This window comes from Homo sapiens, chromosome 6 (genome assembly GCF_000001405.40).
Source record: "Homo sapiens chromosome 6, GRCh38.p14 Primary Assembly".
In the NCBI taxonomy this organism is placed as follows: Eukaryota; Metazoa; Chordata; class Mammalia; order Primates; family Hominidae; genus Homo; species Homo sapiens.
Genome location: NC_000006.12, coordinates 116434897 through 116455679, shown reverse-complemented (window position 1 = coordinate 116455679; position 20783 = coordinate 116434897). Strand labels below are relative to the sequence as shown.

General features: G+C 37.4%; 1 protein-coding gene and 1 pseudogene across 12 annotated transcripts in view; one reads left to right on the top strand and one right to left on the bottom strand.

Moving 5' to 3' along the window:
• Positions 2025 to 2863, top strand: CBX3P9 (CBX3 pseudogene 9; annotated as a pseudogene).
• DSE (dermatan sulfate epimerase) overlaps positions 10819 to 20783 on the bottom strand; it is a 190691-nt gene continuing 180726 nt past the window's right edge. For all 12 annotated transcript variants that reach the window (NR_136524.2, NM_001374520.1, NM_001322937.2 and 9 more), the window contains one exon: positions 10819 to 20093. Coding sequence is in view for 11 of the 12 variants with exons in the window: in NM_001374520.1 (NP_001361449.1) it covers positions 18335 to 20093 (1759 nt within the window). In the remaining variant the exon portion in view is untranslated. The remainder of the gene's footprint in view (positions 20094 to 20783) is intronic.

The following is a 20783-nucleotide window of genomic DNA, read 5'->3' as shown; positions in this document are numbered from 1 at the left end:
CAAGAGTGAAGCCCTCATGATTTAATCACCTCTCAACAGGCCTCACCTCTTAATACTATTGTATTGAATACTAAGTTCCAACATAGGATTTTTGTGGGGACACCAACATTAGACCATAGCACCCATCAAATCAAATTGTTATTTCAGAGGTGAGAGAGAGAGTTGGAGAGAGAGACAGAGAGACAGACATAGAAAGAGAGAGAGAGCCACAATATGTAGCTACAAATTTATATATCCACAATATACATCCGGAATATATCCACAAATTTTAACATTCAGAAATATACTCCCTTTGGGATTAGGAGTGTCAGATTTTGTAAATTAACTTGTTAATTTTGGCATCCAGCATTGCATCTTGCACGTGATACCTAAGATATTTGAATCTTAACTTGATTTTACTCTCTTTGGAGGGTCTTGGGGCCAAGATTAATGCTGTATTAGAATCTAGCAGTCACATTCCAAGCAGGGTCATGTCATTAGTCTGCATTCTTATGAGAGCTGCAGAGCACAATGTGTGATAATGTGTGATGGAGCTTTGTTGTCAATGGGCACTTATCGTCACAATCCCAGTTCTCCTGAACTCAAATTTCCTTTACTAATTTATGATATATGATCAAAGATATGAATTTCCAAAGAAAACAATAATAAATAACAAGATTAAAGAATAAGAATGAAGAAAATAAAAATAACAATAAAACAAAATTTTGAGTTCTTCAAATTATAGATGACACTATTATAAAATCTCAGAAATTTAAATGAACTCTGTGGAGAGCATAAACTGTCATGGAAGATCTTCCCAAAAAGAATGCATCACTTGAAACTTGCTACAGTGTCAAGTTGTAGAGTACTATTTAAATAAGTTATGTAGTATTGGTGCATAGAATACAAAGTAGATCCATACCATTGAGGTAGATCTGTATGTGCTGGTATGGATGAAAAGACATGGAAGACATACTAATTGGAAAATAAGCAAGAACATTTCATGCAATCCATTTGTATACAACAGAAAATTTACTTTTCAAGAAAGCAGAAGAATGGAATCATGTATTGAAAAGAACTGTGGCTATTGACAAATATAGCTCAGAACTGTGGCTATTGACAAATACAGCTTGCTGGAATCAAAGAGATAAGAAGCTTACTAAAATTTGGGAGAGATTTACAGTCAAAGGAATCACAAGCCCAAGTAGACCTATGGTCTTCTGACATTACATAAGAAGGACACGCACTAAGAGAATTACACAGTCCCCAAGACGAATATATGCCCATTAGTACATGGCAAAGGAAGATAACAGAAGACCCTCCAGAGAGTGGAATCCTGAAAATCAAGGAACATTTCTGTATACTCAAGGTAGGAACTTTTATGGCTTTTGCCAAGTGGTAATTTAGTAAGCTTCTTATTTCTTTGATTCCAGTAAACAGTATTTGCCAATATCCACCATTCTTTCCAAGACATGGTTCTCAGATATACTCTATCATTTTGCTTTCTTGCCCCATCCTCCGTGTCTCTCTCTCTCTCCCTCTCTGTCTCTCTGTCCCTCTTTCCCTGGTCCTCCTATCTATCCTACCTTCCTCTGTCTCTTCCTCCCTCTCTATCTAGCTCTTCATGTCTCTCTATCTTTATCTCTCTCTTGCCATTACTGGTATCCTGCATATACATGAGTCTATGATTTTCTGTGGAAAAGCCACAACTTTAATTTGATCTTTGCCGTGTGTATTTATCCAATTGAATACCTTAATTTTATCTGCCCTGAAATTCCTTAATCTATTGAAAGGCATTATCATAGGTAGAGACAACATACTTTTAATTTTACCTATCCACAGGTTATTTTAATGGGCTTCATCTTTCAAGGCTTTCTCAATTTCTGACTTAGTATTTGGAGTTTAAAACCTGTTAGAATTTGCAATTTTGCAAGGCCCCAATTTTCTGAAATAGTTCCATTCCTTCTCATATTTGTTAACAAAGCAACCAATTCTTTTCTTGAGTTAAAAAAGCCTTGTCAAAAAAAAAAAAATAGCTAGTAGTGGTAGGCGCGCAGGGCCAGAGATGCTGCAGACCTGCGACCCGGAGCAGTTCGGAGGCGGTGAATAATATCTCATCAAGTCTGCTATAAAAAATGGCCTCCAATAAAACTACATTGTGAAAAATGGGGAAAAAAAACAGAATGGGAAAAGTAAAAAGTTGAAGAGGCAGAGCCTGAAGAATTTGTGGTGGAAAAAGTACTAGATTGACGTGTAGTGAATGGGAAAGTGGAATATTTCCTGAAGTGGAAGGGATTTACAGATGCTGACAATACTTGGGAACCTGAAGAAAATTTAGATTGTCCAGAATTGATTGAAGCATTTCTTAGCTCTCAGAAAGCTGGCAAACAAAAAGATGGTAAAAAAGAAAATCTTTATCTGACAGTGAATCTGATGACAGCAAATCAAAGAAGAAAACAGATGCTGCTGACAAACCAAGAGGATTTGCCAGAGGTCTTGATCCTGAAAGAATAATTGGTGCCACAGACAGCAGTGGAGAATTGATGTTTCTCATGAAATGGAAAGATTCAGATGAGGCAGACTTGGTGCTGGCAAAAGAAGCAAGTATGAAGTGTCCTCAAATTGTAATTGCTTTTTATGAAGAGAGACTAACTTGGCATTCTTGTCCAGAAGATGAAGCTCAATAATTGTTCACATTGTTTTTTTATATATATTTATAATATATATAAAATTTGGGTCTTGGATTTTGATTTACTAGTGTGATGAAATAACTACATCCTAATGAAAATCAAGTTTGATATGTTCATTTTGAAAGTAGCGTTGGAAGAGTTGCTGGGGGGTTTTTTGAATCCATAGCACTGGTTACTTTGAACAAACAAAAGCTTTCTATAGTTGCTTCCTCTATCAGAAAAGAACATTTGATACCATGGTATATTATTTCCTCTTCATTAAAGAACAGCTTCTCTAAATGTTGGGGGAAATGTCCGTAGTCATTACTCAATCAAAACTTGTGTTCTCATAAGCCTAAGGACCATTCTAGATTTTTTACATGTTTTTTTTTTGTGTGTGTATCCATAAAATGCATATGTGAATTTTTTGTTTGTTTGTTTTTGAGCATTCACACAAACAAAAAAATCACAGGTAAGCCCATGTTTCTGAGATGCCATTATTCCGAGCAAAATAAGAGATAATCACTTCAAGTTAAATTGAAAATTTTCCTGAAGCCATGCATTTCAAGTGAAATAAGTAATTCTAAATAGGACAATTTAAATTGGATAATTTTAAATCATCTATAATTGCAGTGGTTTATTTGCAAAATTCCTAAAAGGAAAAATTTTATCACTGCCATCACAGCAGTTTTCCTCATCCAGATGAGGAAACTAGACAAATGCTAGTGTGTTTTAACTAGCTAAACAAAACTAAATTAAATGAACATTAAAAAATTTCCCTAGTGTGCCATTCCCTAACAAAATGTTGAAATCCCTGTTACTACATTGACTAAAAGGTAATGATGAATGGAATATGTAAGACTTGGCTCATAGAAACCTGATCAGATGGTTAGAGATGTTGGCAGTTTAGGACCTGCTGCTACAAATGTGTGAACAACCTTTTGTAATCTAACCTATTGACCTGCATGTTTTTTCTTTACCCCAACTCATTCCTTACATGTAGGCTCAATCTTCACTTTGCTTTACTGGTTCAGCAAAAGCCAGGAAGAACAACTTTGTAGTAATCAGAATGTTATTCAACTGTATATTGTTTACTTTATTGTAAATACTGGTGAACAGTGGTTAATAAATAATTTTATATTCCTTTAAAAAAATAGTAGTTGCTAACACACAGTAGACACATTATTTTCCAATCCTTTCCCTTAGAGTCTTATTTTCTTTAGCTACATAATCTTCCTCCAAGTTAATACAGAAGTTGGCTTTACCAACCACCACATAACAAGAATTGTCATCTATCTAGCCTCCATTATCAATTTCTATGCTGTCCACCACTGAACTGCGAAGCCCATGCCACATATTTTAGGGTTTTTAAATTAATAAAGCACCCTGCTTCAAATACCAATATCTGTTCAGAACTAGCCACAAGGTTTCACCGAACTGCAATGGAAAGAGGAAGTATGGTTCTTTCCCATGCCTTAAAGGCAGAGAACCTGACATGGACGAGTACAGGAAGTCTCCACCACATCTTCTATGACCAGTCTTTCTAAACAGTTCCCCATCCACCCCTTCACCTTTCTTAGCTGCATTTTTTCCTTATTACATGTAGGAGTTTTATCTTTCATTTGTTGCTTGTTAATTTTTGTTCGTCTCCTCCACTAGATTATACATTCCAAGAGGGCATGGATAACACCTGACTTAATCCTCTTTCAGTTACACAGGTCTTGGCATAGTGCCTAGGACTTTGTAGGTGTTCAGTACATATTTGTGGGAACAGTGAGTGAATCGATGAATGAATGAATGAGAAGCAGGCTTAGATTTTCTCTTCTCCTACTGCAGAGCCAGCACCATTCCTATTTTATTCAGCTTAGAATGTGAGCCCTTCTGCACAGGCCATGCCGGTCTGAGCACATCACACAGCTCAGAATAACGTAAGGAATCTTGAATTGCCAACCCTGTGGAAAACAGTAGGTAGCTTATCCACGGAGGAACAAGGCAACACCAGCAACAAACAAGGTCATGGGTTAGGTTCCAGGTGCAGCTGAAGGGCCACCTGGACACCTACTCCCATCCACTTTAATCAGAGTCACCAAGCCACAGCGGGGGATGGTGGAGGTGCAGGCCTGGGCAGAACAGGGACTGTCCCAGACTTCTTCCTGTTCTCCTTCCCACTCAGCTCAACTGCTTTTGTCTTGTTTACTCAGCACAGTTCTCTTCCCCACTAGCCCCACTCCCCATTGTCCACTATCTTTCCATACCCACACATAACTGAATTATTTATGGGAGGGATTTTTCTTTTTACTTTAACTGAGAAAGCAACCCAAGGGCAAGAATTTTTTTTTTATATTTTACTTTTAGATTTATTTTAAAAGTTAAAAAAAAAAAAGTTCACCTCCTATCTTGGAAGCAATGAACCAATCTTGAATAAGTTTCATTCACAGGTAGATTCAGAGCTTGACGATCTGTGACTCTACTTTGGCATGATACCTGACCTCCTCTGGTAGTGCCAGGCACCTGCAGTACTTACCTGATTAAGGTAATTTAAGTTTGGCTGCTAATAACACTCTCTGGCTCTCCTCCAGACTCCCTGACTATTCATCCAAGCCTCCTTCATAGGCTCTCCCTCCTCCTCCCAACCATTAATATTGGTACTCACTAAAATTGGGTACTTTCCACATACACACCCTGAATAATCTCCTCTTGGCACCACCACAGACTAGACATGTGACCTTAAGCAAGGTAGTAGATCTCTCTGTGCCTCAGTTATCTGTAATATGAAAATAATATTATCTGCCTCATTGGGTTGTTGTGAAAATTAAGAGTTGAAACATACAACATTCTTCTAATAGTGCCTGGCACATAGCAAATGCTCAAAAGTGTTGGTAATGATATTATTCTCTTTTCCTAGGGCTTCAACAACCAACTCTGTGTTAACATTTCCAAATATTCATCTCCCTTTCCTAAGTTCTACATGGGCATTTTTAACTGCCTAGAAGATATCTTCACTTATTTGTTTAGCAATCATTTCAAACATAATATAGAACTCAGCTTATGTTACAACTTATTTTTCCTGAATTTTGATGTCAGATAAGGATATTAATCTTTCAAGCTAGAAAACTCAGGGTCACTGGTGATGCCACTCCATTTCTTGTGCAGCTTAAGTCTGCTTCAGGTCCACCCCTCAGTGTGGACCTCTCCTCTCCAACCTCACTGAATGTGGTCCACATTCTCATTACATCACCTCACTGCAGTTTATGCCACTCAGTCCTGTCAGAGTTAACTTCCTGAAAAATGAATATGTCATTTGTTGTTGGTGGGGATGAAAAATGGTGCAGCCACTTTGGAAGGCAGTTTGGCAGTTTCTTACAATACTAAAATACTCTTACGATATGATCCAGCAATCATGCTCTTTGGTATCTATCCAATTGATACCAATTGATATTTCAATTGAGTTGAAAACTTATGCCCACACGAAAACTTGCAAATGGATGTTTATAGCAGCTTTACTTGTAATTGCCAAAAGTTAGAAGCAACCAAGATGTCCATCAGTAGGTGAATGGATAAATGGTAAATAAACTATCGCACATCCAGACAATGGAGTATTGTTCAATGCTAAAGAGAAATGAGCTATCAAGCCATGAAGAGACATGAAAGAAACAAATGCATATTACTAAGTGAAAGAAGCCAATCTGAAAAGGCTACATACTGTATAATTACAACTATTCTGGAAAAGGCAAAACTCTAAAGACAGTAAAATAATCAGTGTTTGCCTGAAGTTGTGGGGCAAGAGGAATCAACAAGCAGAACCTAGAGGATTTTCAGGGCAGTGAAACTAATCTGGATACTATAATGGTGGACAAATGTCATTACACATCTGTCCAAACATGTAGAATGTACATAAGAGTGAACCCTAATATAAACTGTGGACTTTGGGTGATTATCATGTGTCAATGTAGGTTTATCAGTTGCAACAAACATATCACTCTGGTGGGATGTGTTGATAATGGGGGAGGATATGAATGTGTGGGAGCAGGAGGTATGTGGGAAATCGCTATACCCTTCTCTGAATTTTGCTATGAACCTAAAACTGCACATAGGAAAATAAAATCTTTTAAAAAGTGAATTTGAGTATACCCTAGAGACTGTTATGCACCATGTGAATGGGATACAGAGTACAAAAGCTCATATTGTTCATAATTGCTATTTTTAAAAAGCTGGTATAAAAGAACTGGTAATAAACATAAAAACTGATCAAATAAACATAAGAATGATTTTAAAAACCAAAGAAAAATATACAACAGACAAGATAAACTGTGAAATAGTCAAACAAGAAAATACTATATAGCAAAGTAAATAAATAAATATCAACAAGGATGAATCTTTAAAACAAAACATTGAGCAATAAAACTTAAACACAAAGAATATGTTCAGTATTATTCCATTTATAAAAAGTTCAGAACTAGTCTAAATAGACTGTCTTTTCTGAGTATGTATACATAAGTGAAAAAACTAAGGAACAACAAAGAAGTGATTAAGAATCAGGACAGTGGTTATCATTTTTGGGGCTTCCATGACATATGACTGGGGAGGAGATGAAGGGTTTTCACAATGTTATATGTTACAGAGGTGTTTACAATTATGCTTTATACACTATATCTGTTTTAATGTTTTAGTATTTTTTCCTCATTAAGGATTATATTTCTTAATTTTTATGGCAAGAGAAAGACAGCAATCCAATTACATTATTTTCCAACTGAAAACCTCCAATACTTCCAGTTTTCCAGAGGACAACTTCCATATCCCTACATTGGCACAGAAGCTTGTCCCAGACTTGCTCCACACATCTCCACCCCACTTCATCCCATGCACCCCGGTTTCCAGCACCACTGACCCCCTTACTTTTCCTGTGCATACACATCACAGTCTTCCTCAATACCATGCCTTCTCACTTGTTTTTCTTTCTTCCTTAAATGACATTTCTGTTTTTCACCTGGCAAACTACTCTCTTCCTTTAATACTCAGTCTGATGTAACTTCTTCATTCAAGTCATCTTCAAAACCCCCAGAGTTAGCATTTCTATTTTTTTTGCTCTCACACCATTTAAAAAGAAATAACTGTGCAATAGTTCTTGACATGCCTATTGCAACATTCCTTTCCAGGGATCTGTCTCTCCTACTATGGTGGGAGCTCCCAGGGATCCAGGGCCTCTTCTCATTCATCATTGCTTCCCTCAGTAGAGTCAGCTGCTCTCTGACCACAACTCTCTTTCCACACACGAAGTAGACCTCACTACATTGTATATTATCTTTATCTACTTACAGAGCTGTCTCAAGCTATGTTGTGCAATTTTATGAGAATTAAAAATGAGATAGTATGAAAAACCCAGCACAGTGTTTAGAATATTTTAGTTTCAGTTACATTTTTTAAAAGGTTTTTTTAAAAAGTAGTGACTCAGAAATGTGCTAGAGGGTGCTGATTCACTGTTTTGTTATAGACGATGGTACTCAGGTTGTTAACATTTGACTTGCTCATCTAACCAGGAGCCAAAGAAATAATCAGATTTTTAGTAAGCAAAATATCAGCCATTTTTATTTAATAAATAAATTAATACATTTCAAGTGTTTGTGTCTATAGTTGACTTGAAATTATTTTGGGGAAGAATAAGACAACAACCAGATTGATGGCTGACGGCATGATGTTGCTTGTTTTAGTCCCTGTTTGTATATATCCCCCAATCCCCCAACCTAAGGTTTGTCCGACAAGCAGTGAAAACTCAAAGCAGGCAGTGTTGATTTTGGCAGTGCCCCAACTTTCCTTAAAGTAAAGAAATGCCAAACAAAGTGTTTCCTCAACTGTCAAATGGGAAGGCTGAACTAGATCATCTTTGGGGTCCCTTTCAATTCTAACATGCTATAATACATACTTCTAGTTCGTTAAAAAAAAGAAACAGGCATGACCTCTTTAAAAACCACACACATACATACATTCGACCAAGAACTGACAAAATTCAATGAAAAGTAAACCAAAAAAAATTTTAAATCTGCCTTAACAGAAAAAAAAAAAAAGAAGAAAAACCAAACTGGAGTTCCATTTATTCCTTCCATGTAAAGCTGGGTTTAAAAAAGCAATATGAGTGACAAATGATTGACTGCTTGAAAGATGTATTGATTGTGAGATATTTTCTAGTTTCTTCTGTATCTCCACATCTTCTGTTAATAATTATTCTAGCTAAATCTTCTCTTCTTTAGGAGAGGATGATAAAGTAGGTTTATGTTATATAAAGCATTGGTCAGCTGATTGAAAGCGTTTTACAATGACTCCATTCACTTCAACCACCTGAAAAACCACAAACATTTATGACAGTCTTAAAAGTCCAGGAAACAATACTAAATTAAGAGATGGAGACTGCAGATAAATATATTAGTAAATAATTTGCTTTTATGTTTATGAAGCTCAATCAAAGTGACTCACAGTTTGGGTGCAAGATGAGAGTAGACACAAAAAGCAGAAGTCTGGTTTTGCAACTGATTATTTTATGATGTCTGTAGGCTGTGCTGCAGGATCCTAAACTATGACAAATAGTTATAGTAATTTCTAAAATGTGAGGATGTTCAGTAGTCTTTTTTTTTTTTTTTTTTTTTGAGATAGGACCTGACTCTGTGCCCAGGCTGGAGTGCAGAGGCCTGATCTTGGCTCACTGCAACCTCTGCCTCCTGGGACTCAAGCAATCTTCCCACCTCAGCCTCCACAGCAGCTGGCACTACAGGCGTGCACCACCACACCCAGCTAATTTTTGTATTTTTAGAAGAGACAGGGTTTCACCATGTTGCCCAGGCTGGTCTTGAATTCCTGGGCTTAAGCTATCCGCCACCTCAGCCCCACAAAGTATGGGATTACAGGTGTGAGGTACATCACCTGGCCCAGTAGTCTATCTTTAACAAAGATAATCTACTTTGACAATTTTTTTGCTTGTTCACTTAAGTTTCATGAGATTAAAGGCAAACAATTATGGTGAAAGTTTAATAGTTTTGATGTAACTATGCTTATAACTCAGTATTTTTAATGATTATAATGTAGCATTTTGAGCACTCTAAATAATTAAAATTCAAGTTTAGACATTGTTTTATTTTGAGTTTTATGCTCTAATCCATAATTACTGTTGGCTGTATGTCTCTGGTCACAGTTCTTAGCCTCTCTGAACCTAGCTTCCTAATTTATAAGATGGGGCTGTAGCTATTATTTTCCTTACAGTATGCAGATGCGTACAAATTTCTTCAAACTTTGCTAGGCTTCAGTAAGACTGCTATTATCATTGCTATCTAGTAAGCTTTAGCATAATAATGGCGTAAACTTGGACTAGGCAATGTTTTTATGAATTTTAGCACATTTTATAAAATAAGCCTGCATGTGGGCTCATTGCATACCATTTAAGAAACAAAACTTCTTTTACAGAATTATATTCTTTCATTCCCTACTTCTTCCTCTGACATCCAAATAATTTTTTTAATTAAAAATGACCTATCTTCAGTAGTGAATTCACGAAGGTCCTCTCATCATCCATAAGACTCTTAAAACATGCACTAGGCAACAGGTGCCATGGTTGACTCTCCACGTGTGCAGGTGTCGCAGAAAAGCCAGCTGAATAACCAACCCTCCCAACCACACTGCTTGCCCACACCCTTGACACCCACACCACATTGTCCTATGTTCTCTAGGAAGTCTGCTTTGCTGGCATGGCTATGCTTTCTCGATTGCACAGTGTCATGAACTCACAAGGCATTCTTATGGGCAATGGCTGAAGTTTAGCAACAGTCTGCTGATTACTGGTGGTTTACAACATCTCACACAAATGGTGTGTTATTTTAAGTTGTGCTTTGGAATCTGGGCTCTCGATCCCACTTGGGACCACCCTGTGTTTAGCAATCATATAAGCAGCTGCTTGCTTACCTTGTTAACATCTGTCTTTCACATGTACCCTGTCCTGGAGATTGAATTTTAGGCCTCCACATAGCTCAGAGGTGACAGTGTTGAAACAGCTCTAGGATCTAGCTGGAGCATCTCTCAGGGCCACAGTTCACAGCTAACTGAGAGGTTAGTGATGTTAGCTCATTATAAGAACTATGTTCTATCTTATCTCATTCAGGCTGCTATAACAAAAACACCATAGACTAGGTGGCTTACAAACAACAGAAATTTATTTACCACAGTTCTGGGGACAGGGAAATCCAAGATCAAAGCACAACAGATGTGGTATCTGGTGAGGACTCACTTCCTGGTTTACAGATGGCCATCTTTTCACTGTAGCCTCACATGTTGGAAGGGACAAGGGACCTCTCTGGGGTATCTTTTATAAGGATACTACTCCCATTCACGAGGGCTCCACCTTCATAACCTAATCACTTTCCAAAGGCCCCACATCCTAATACTATCACATTAAGGATTAGGTTTCAACATATTAATTTTGAGAGGAGGCAAACATTCAGTCTGCAGCAAGCTCAATGTTAAGGTCTTCTGGGACCACAGTCTTCTGTACTCCATTCAGTCATTAATCCACCAATTTATTTATTCATTCAGGCAGTCAGTCAATTCATCAAGCATTTTTTGAATACCAAATTTTTCTGAATGCATTTTTTGAATGCCAGGCACTGTGTAAGAACCATGTATATACAACGAGCAAGAGACACAATCCCTGCCCTAAAGGATTGTAGTCCAGTGACTTTGTGTCTTCTAAGAGTGAGCCACCTAAGGGCAGTGTTCAGTAATAGCAATCAGTTTTCAGTTGTTATTGCAATTGATATTTCAACTGTGATAAAAAATTCTGTGAATTAATCTTTCAAAAGAATCACGTCTCCCTTTCATCAGTCCTTTTTGTATCAAAAAATACGGAGGTTTGAATATATAGAGTGCTCTAAGAATTCTCTTCAGAACTCTACTAAATGACCTGGATCCATTCTTTTGTCAGTAAAACAAATACCTTCAAGAGAGGAGTAAAGGAGTTTAGAAATCAAGATTATCAAGGAGACAATAAACAGAAATTCCTTTTATTTTACTGGAGGTCTCTGATCCTGGACAAAAATGGTAAACAGCAGAGACTGAAAAGTACAAAGTAAGGAAAACTGACAAGATGTTTGCTTTACACAGAAAGGTACTTCTAGTGTCCTGTTATTACCATTTCTTTGGAAGAAAAAGGAAGTGCCTAGACCATTGAAAACGTTTTTTTGTTCAGAAAAGAATTCCTAAATAAATACTAAACACACTTCTCATTATTTAATTTGGAATGTGCTGGGCTGACTGAATGTTTTTAGAAGCTCTTTTCTTAAGAAATTCTACTGAAATCATAGGGACATTCTTTGATAAAGACTTCCCCATAACAAATTTCTAGAGATATGCAGAAGGAGCAGCACTTTTACTTTTCTGATTTAGAAAGTACTCCAACTGCCTGCATTAATCACAATGCTTATATAATTGAAACTATTTCTTTTTTAAATTAAATGGAGTGAGGAAAAGAGACCCTCCTGCCCTGGAGCCTGGTCTACTTTTCCAGTCTAATTTTCTATCACCCGCCACTACATACACACCCTGTACTCCAGTTATACCATTCTATGTGAAGTCCCTGAACAAGGCAAGCTGAAAACACAAATGGCAGAAATATTTGAACAATTTCCTGGGCTTATTAAGGGATAGCCAGGGTGACGGCAGCAGAGCCATGGCAGGCAACCATGCTCTTCTTATATTAAATAAGACTCAGACATATATACCATTAGGGATCCTTGACTCATTATCTTTCTGATCAATACTTCCACAAAATATTCATTCCTTTGGCCACACATTTTGCCTGTGGGCTAGGAGTTAAACATTCCCTCTCCAGACTTATTCAAGGAGCTAATTGTCTTCTACCCAGACTATGGAAATGGTCTCCTAACCTCTTCCCCATTGGGTCCACTCTCTACACTGAAGCTAAAATTGCCTTTCTAAAATGCAAATCTGATTATTTAAAAAGAAAATTCTTTAATGGCTTGCCATTGCTTGCAGCGATTTCTAAGCAGAGGGTACCCCCTCCCTGCCCCACCTCACCCCAGGGAGTAAACATATGGAATATGGGGGGCATATCAGAGCCATCTCAGGGATTTTTCAAAGTTTCACATACACACAGGTATATGTGGCATCATCAACACCCCTCACCCATGTCCCTTTTGCTCCCATACACATTTCCTATCCCATGAAAATCGCTGCCATGCTTGTTGAGTGATGGGTGTTATGTTGTAGCCCTCAGTTATGCTGAGGCATAAAAATGGTTGAGCAGCCTCATGGCAGAATAAAGTCCAGATTCCTTAGCATGTCCTACAAAGTCCTGCACAATAGCCTCCCTGCTTGCCTTTTCAGTTTCATCTTCACCCATTCTCCATCACACACCCTGTGGGCCAACACCACCAGTCTGGAGAATTCCTGAACCAGGTTTGCTTTTTCGTACTTTTTTCTTTATTCTATTCCATTTACCCAGAATGCACTTCTCCTCTCACACAGCTAGTAAATTTCTGTTTAACCTTTAAGAAGGCACCAACAATTACATCTTCAGCCACAGCCTGCCCCTGGATTCCAGGCTGGTACATCTCCACTTGGATTTTTAGAAAGTATCTTAAACTTAACATGGCTAAAACAACCTCCTGGACCCGCTTCCTACTACTTATTCCTCCTGCAGTCAGCCACATCTCAGTTCATTGCAACTGACTCCCCAACTCATAATCCAAGTCTTTGCTGCAGTCTGTGAGAGCATGTATGATCTGATCCTATTCCTATCACCCTCCCCTCCCCCACTCTGCTCTAGCCACACTGGCCTCCTAGTCCTAAATACACCAAACACATACTGAGCTCAGGGCCTTCGAACTGCTGTTCTATCTGGAATGCTCCTCTCTCTTAGATGTCCCTGTGATTCATTCCCTTATTTCTTTCAAGTGTCTGATCATAAGTAATCACATCAGAAACCACTGTTTATGGGACAGTACCAATTCACCATCACCTTACATCCCCTCCCCTTGCTTTATTCTCCACAGTACTTACCACTACTTGACATCCTGCACTATTACTGTTATTATTTGCTCCCACTAGAACATAAACTATACAAGGGCCAGCTTTTATTATTCCTATTCTCTACCATATCTTCAGTTCCTAAAACAATACTTGGCATATAGTAGATGCTCTGTAAACATGTTATTGTCATTCGTTATTTGTTAACTCAACTGAAAAGTGCTGTGGGACTTCCATTTAAACATACTGCACTCAATATATAAATTTCCTTCAGTTCCTTCCTAAAACCCCATTAAATTAACAGCAAATAGATTTTCAAAATGACACAGAGAATGGAAGTGGAGACATCAATAAAGCCTAACCTGATCACCACATTTAAAATTATGGCCTCCTCTTCCCAGTCTCCTTACCCTGACTTTTCCTTCCATAGCACCTATTATCTTCCAATAAGTATAAAGAATGGGTAAGAGAGCTAAAGCTTCATTAGTAGGCAGTTTTAGACCTTATTGTAAACAAGTACACAATATATGTAACAGCCAAAAGAATTAGAAATTGGTTACTTCTGGGAAGTACAAACTAAGAATGAGAGGGGAAGGGACAGATAATTTATTGTTTTGTTTTTTAAATAAGGCTTCTAGTACTATACTTTTTCAATCATGTATGTTCATAATTTATGCCAAATAAAACTTCAATTAAAAAAATCCCAAAACCAAGAGGGAAACTGTATATGCAAGAAGAAAAGTCATAATGCAACTTTGTCTATTTTTATTCTTCACATAGTGACTATGTCTTGTTTAACAGAATTTGAACATATTAAAATAGATGACCAAATACTAAATATTTAGACTATGTAGTGGAACACATGATTTATATCAGTCATTTCTTGAAAACTTATGAGTACTTCATTGACATTACATGCATAAAGCAAATATCTAGCTGAAACATTGCTGAAAAAAAAATACGTCATTTTGCCAGTAAATTAAATAAACTGCAGAAAGAAACTACTTCTCAACATGAAAGTAAAGAGAAGAGAATCAAGGCAATGGGCTTTGCCACAGACAGGGAATACACAGCGAACAGGGAAAGGATCAGGCCCCCCTTGCTTGAGGCTTGCTTTCCTCATCTGTAGATTTAGGGGTCTCAATCAGGTCATCTCAAGTTCCCTAAACTTGCTTAAAAAGCATCAAACTTTGAGTTAGACCTTCAGACTTCCCTAACTCCTTTTTTCCTGAATTAAGCTATGACAAAGATGACCATATGTCCCAGTTCACCTAGTATAATCTCGATTTATATCTGTTGTCCTGGAATAACAATTAATTGCTCCTCCTTTAACTCTCAAAGGTATCTCCAGTCGGAAGATAAATTACATGCCCCTCATACCTATGACTATATTCATTTTAATCTTGGTTTAGATTTTTAAGAAAACACACTAATTTACTTTTAAGCCTACAAATATAGCATTTCATAGCTTGCTTTCTCTTAACACTTGGAGAAATTTCAGATTCTTTTGTGAGTGGTTTGTGAACTATCAAAAATTTTTTTAACTTGGCCGGGCATGATGACCTATGCCTCTAATCCCAGTACTTTGGAAGGCTGAGGCAGAAGAATCGCTTAAGATGGGAAGTTTGCGGCTGCAGTGAGCTACGATCACGCCACTACACTTCAGCCTGGGTGATGCAGAAAGGACCGTGTCTCTAGAAATAAAAATAATTTTTTAAAAACTGAGTAAGTCAAATGTAAATTTTCCTTTTCAAAAACAAATTATTCAGTATGCAAAACATTCTGTTAAGACATATTTTCTGATAACCTTAGAATACGTGGTACTTAAAAACTATGACTAAAATATTTGTGGAAGAATTCATTATCTTAGGTGATACATTTTAACAATTAAAATAGTTCCAGAACACGGTCTTCCACCTGACTTTGACGATTAAAACAATGTTGTCAAAAGAATGTTCTCTCTGAAAATTCTGGGTCTCATCCACCACCATAGGTCTCATCTACCATCAACTGAAATAAGCTAATCAGTTATAAACAAGGGAATATACTTAAAAAAAAAAAAAAGAGAGAAACACGGTCTCACTCTGTCTCCAAGGCTGGAGTGCAGTGGCACAGTCATAGCTCACTGCAGCACAGAACTCCTAAGCTCAGGCAATACTCCCACCTCAGCTTCCCAGGAATATACCACTTTTACTGCACTGACAAGCTCTGTATGCTAGTGATTCTCAAATTTTCTTTAAGGCTAGGACCAAGAGTCCTGCCAATCCCCTGAACAACAGCTCACATATTATCAAATGAACTTGAAACATTCCTGTCATAGTGAGCAGCATTGAAACAGATTCCATAACTGATTACTCAGTTTCAAGGGAGATTTAACATTGCTTTGTTTTCAAGTTACAAAAAGTTCCCTAGTTTTACTCAAATATGCACTATCCCTGATTAAAAAAAACATGTTTCATTATGAAGAGGGGTGATTTGTTTCAGCATTTTTTTTTTTCACTTAACCACTTAAGTCACTGCCTGAGGAAGTTTCTTTTTAAGGAAATAAATACCAGGTTCATTAGAAGAAAAAAAAAAAACACATAATTTTAATTCATTTTGTTTTAAAGATGCGTATTTTAAAAAGACTACTTTAAAATGAACTAATATGTTACACTGGATCATGCTGTGGCGACTAACGTATTGTCAAGCCTTAACCTAATGAAAACAAAAGAAAAGCGAGTTTGGCACTCACTTGCACTTTTCATCTCTGTTAGAAAGTATGTCTCAGTTTGGATCTGAGATCAGGTTTGCTTGGTAACCTCAAAGAATAATTTTCCTTTTTTTTTTCTTTCAAAATTTCCTTTTGATCATTTCAGACAGTTCATCCTTTTGAGTGAGAAAGAGTAAAAGAGAGGAATGTTGAGTGAGGTTAAGTAAATGGAGAATCTGTCACATAAAGCAAGTTTAAATCCTAGTAAGAGCATCCATGCAGGACAAACGGAAGCATTATTCTTTTGAAAACATTATTCTTTTAAACAGTGTGTAATGACATCCTCCCTAGAGACTTTCCATGAGAGGGGAAAAAAATTACTTCCTCAGAAGTCGTTTTCTAGATTCCAAGCATAATAAGTGAAGCACAGTTAAAAGTCAAACTTGTGTTTTCTTTATGCAAGAAGGTTCAAATTAGAACTGCAGAAAGGTACTTAAAAGTTTCTCTAGCTTGTCTTTTGGTTACATACTGGTATTGCTGTGAACTAAAAGAGCAAGTAAGAGGAAAGGTTACTGTTGTTACTTTACACCTATAAATCAGTGAGTGTGTCCTTACTGTAAAATTTGAGCTGAACATATTTTGTTTCAAAGGAGAAATATATGACTCAAATATGCTGAATGTATGATAATTTATTAAGTTCCTTTTAAGTATATCATTTTCTTATGCTCAAGTAGAAACTATGGATTATTTTTCTAGTATTCTATGCTGCTGTTACCTTCTGAGGAGTTGATTGAAAATTTTATGCTTTTAAAAGTTGGGTGCTACTTAAATATCAGAATTGGCTATTGTTTTAAATATTTAAAATATGCTTAAACAACAATTAAGGTTAATAAGCAGAGAAAATACTTCTTTTGATTCAAACACTACTTTATATATTTAATGAATACACGTCCAAATAAAGATCTCTCTTCAAAAATTTTGGAAAATGTTAATGCATTTTGAATATAATGGAACAAAGAAGAAGAATACTAGAGAAAATTCACAATTATGATGTTTATTTAGGAAAATAAACTTGAAGAAGGTTTTCTATTAAAAAAACATAAGAATCATATCCAAATTTTAGACTCTCCATCTTCTTTGGTATGAAAATCAACATTCATAATAGAAAATATTTTCTTTTGAAAGGTTTAGTTGTTATTGGGTCTATAACGGTTTTCCATATAAGGAAAATACAGTATTATCTGTAATCATCTCACTTATTGAACAACCAATGAATGCATGCAAGTAACCAAGCATATGTGTGCAGAGACCAGCATCAAGGAAATATTCATTCATAGATAAATGTTTTCTAATAAAATATATTTTAAGTTTTTAATGATCTTCTGCTATCATTTTTTGCCATGTTATCTGAATAGCCATCCAGATCTGTAGTAAAACATCCTGTTAGTTACATAACTCAAGAAGTACTTCCCCAAGGAAGCTCACACCATCATACCAGGACTTAGCAACATTTATCTTTCAACATGAGTATACCATTAAAATTTTTTTATATTTCTCAGAATTGTATTCTTCAGTCTTTTCCACAATATAGTATATGGAAATTGCTAATAGCATTAAATTAATATTAATAAAACCCAATTCTATCTAAACCTTTTTCTCATAAGAAAAAACATTACTTTAAAAAATAGACTTTTTGTTTCTTCTAAAAGTAGTACTATATGGACTGCTCAATTAGCAATGCCAAATACTTCCAAAAACACCATAGGACCACCAAGCTATTTCTATTGCTTTGATAATTTCTTTTCCTGCTCCAATTTCTCCACGTTCCTGCTTTCTTGTGTCAAAATATCTTCCCTTAATTTGTTAAAATGAATCTGAGGGAAAAAAATCTGATAATCTGGGGTAAAGAAATTTTTTTTTTTGCATAGACTCTTGTGATCACAAAATGACCAGGTAATTTATAGCTTCAGTGCTAACACTGTGATTGGGAACAAGAAGAGTACAACCATAATAAAATACAGCTATCTATGAGAAGAACTGCATAAAGACATCTTTGGCCATGTAGGCTCTGGGCCCTCTGGAAATAAGTCAGTTGCATTGCCAACATGACAAAGAAAATAGCAATGTTCAGAATCAGGAACAACCTGGTATAGGAAGCAGACAGTGATGGGGCCCTGCTGTGTGTAGTTGTCACCATCCGTGCCTGTCCAAACCGGCCTTTAATCAAGCCCCCATTTTTATGTTTCTCGTATGTTACATCTGCAAAATCTAAAAGGTCTTTCATTTCTTCATCTTCATCTATGGGTAGTTCTTTCTGTGCCAAAATCTGAGCTTTCTGTCTAATCTTTTTCTCATTGACTTCAATCTGTGCAAAAATATCAGGGACAGCATCCACAAATTTATAGCGTTTGCCTGCCCTTCGGTTTTTCTTTGACTTGCTTTGCTGCTGCTGTTGCTGTGATATGGCAAAAATCCTGTCAATGGCCTCCTCAGTCTGTCTCTTATCTGAAAATCTCAGCAGGCGTTCAGCAGTCTTCCTAAAGCTAGCTGTGTTCCGGACTCGGGACAGTATCTGCTTCTCCAGCAGCTGAAACACTGGTTTAAAATGCTGCAAGTTCTGTTCCACAATAGCAGCATAGTCCTTCACCTCAGGGACAATGCTGCTCTTGATGGCTGAATTCCGGTCAAACAGAATTTTGTGACGATCAGCAATGACCTGTGCAAAGGCAGACTGTCCTGTGGCCTCACCTGTCCACAGGTATGTGGCGTAGGCATGTTTGCTGGTGGCTATGAACACATCCAGTTGCTGAGAGTCTCCGTGGACAGTGAAGCTCTGAACATCTATAGATGGCCCTATGAAGAGGTAAGCTGCCCTGGTGATGGGACTTCGGAGGTGCATGGTGACATTCACATAGTTTGTCCCATTGTAGGGATAGCCCCGAGGATATGTCACTGAGGCAAAGGTTGCTTTCTCGCTGTAGCCAGTATCGTCCATCCAGTACATTTTATAGAGACCATCTCTCTGCCTGATGAAAGCCCCATGGACACCATCTACCACAGTCTCCTCAAAAGGAACATCCACATTATGGAAGAAGCTCGCTGCTGTCTCCAAGGGACTCTCCTCTCCCAGGTGTATTTGGTCTACAAGGAGAAGCAGCTGTGGATGTAGGAGGATGAGATTCCTCTGAACATTCTTCAGGTTGAGCTGGGGGTTATAAGCTCCCACACCTTCTCCTCGGATGAAAACCACCCCATTTTTCTCCTCTGCTGCAACCACCCTCCCCTGACAACTAGCTGCCAGGTCATGCTTGTATTTAGACCATTTTGATGAGCAGTCTTCTGTGACCTGACCCACCCAGGGAGAAAAGCAGCTCTTTGACACAGCTGGGGAAAACATCAAAACATTGTTGAAGAAGGTGTACTTTGGCCCGTACAGAGCCTCAGTAATGAAAGGCACACCATTGGGAGCAAAAGTAAATGAGTTTTGATCAGGATGTTCATGCCCTGCATTAAAATTTCTCCATCCTTTGATCCAATCTTTGTATTTGTTTCTGTGGACAATGTCATATATTGCACGTCCCCCCAGTTTTCCAGACTTGAAGGAAAGGAAAGATCTATTGATTTCTGCAGGTAGTGCACTTCCATAAGTCACGACACCCCAGTCTTCAAAATAATGCAGTGTAGGGGTGCCAAAGTCTGGAGGAGGAACCGATTTCAAGCTGCCATCATACCTGAAATTAATTTTGAAAAATTAAATGGTTTTCTGATGGCAGTGAAAATAACACATAACATGGTAATGTGGAAGATGCGACACACAAATGCTACCCAGAGCACTGGCAGTGCAGAGTATATTAGGGACAATTCTAAAAATATCCAAGGACAACCAGTATGCACAAAGGGAAACCCTTGGTGACTGGAAGAGGAATATTTCTTTATCATTTGTGATCCTTGGGTTTGGGCCCGAAATGATTTCTGCTCTAATCTCTACATGGACTATCTTCACTTGATGATGTCAGAGTGACCATTCAAACTACTGGGCCTCATGGATTTAAGCACTTCATCCAAATTTCTGGTTGAGGGGCTCCTCTTCTAGAAATGCCATGTTAGAATCTGGACTCTAACAAGCCTTGAGTTGTAATAAAGTATAGTTCTGCAGTAACTGATATTATTGAATGTTTGGTATTGAAAAGAGTTCTCCCTCAAGATTTTTTTCCTTGAAAAAATAAACTGAAATAGAGGAGAACTTCACATATTAGATAAAATGTATCACCAACACCACATCTCAGAATATAAATGGATGAAGTTTCAGCAAACTGTCTTATATTGAGGGATTTATAATTGTGCCTACTACTGACCAGCCAGGTCCAAAGGTTTGGTTTTGTTTTAATCTGCAGATGATGCCATGCTTCTTGGACAATAAA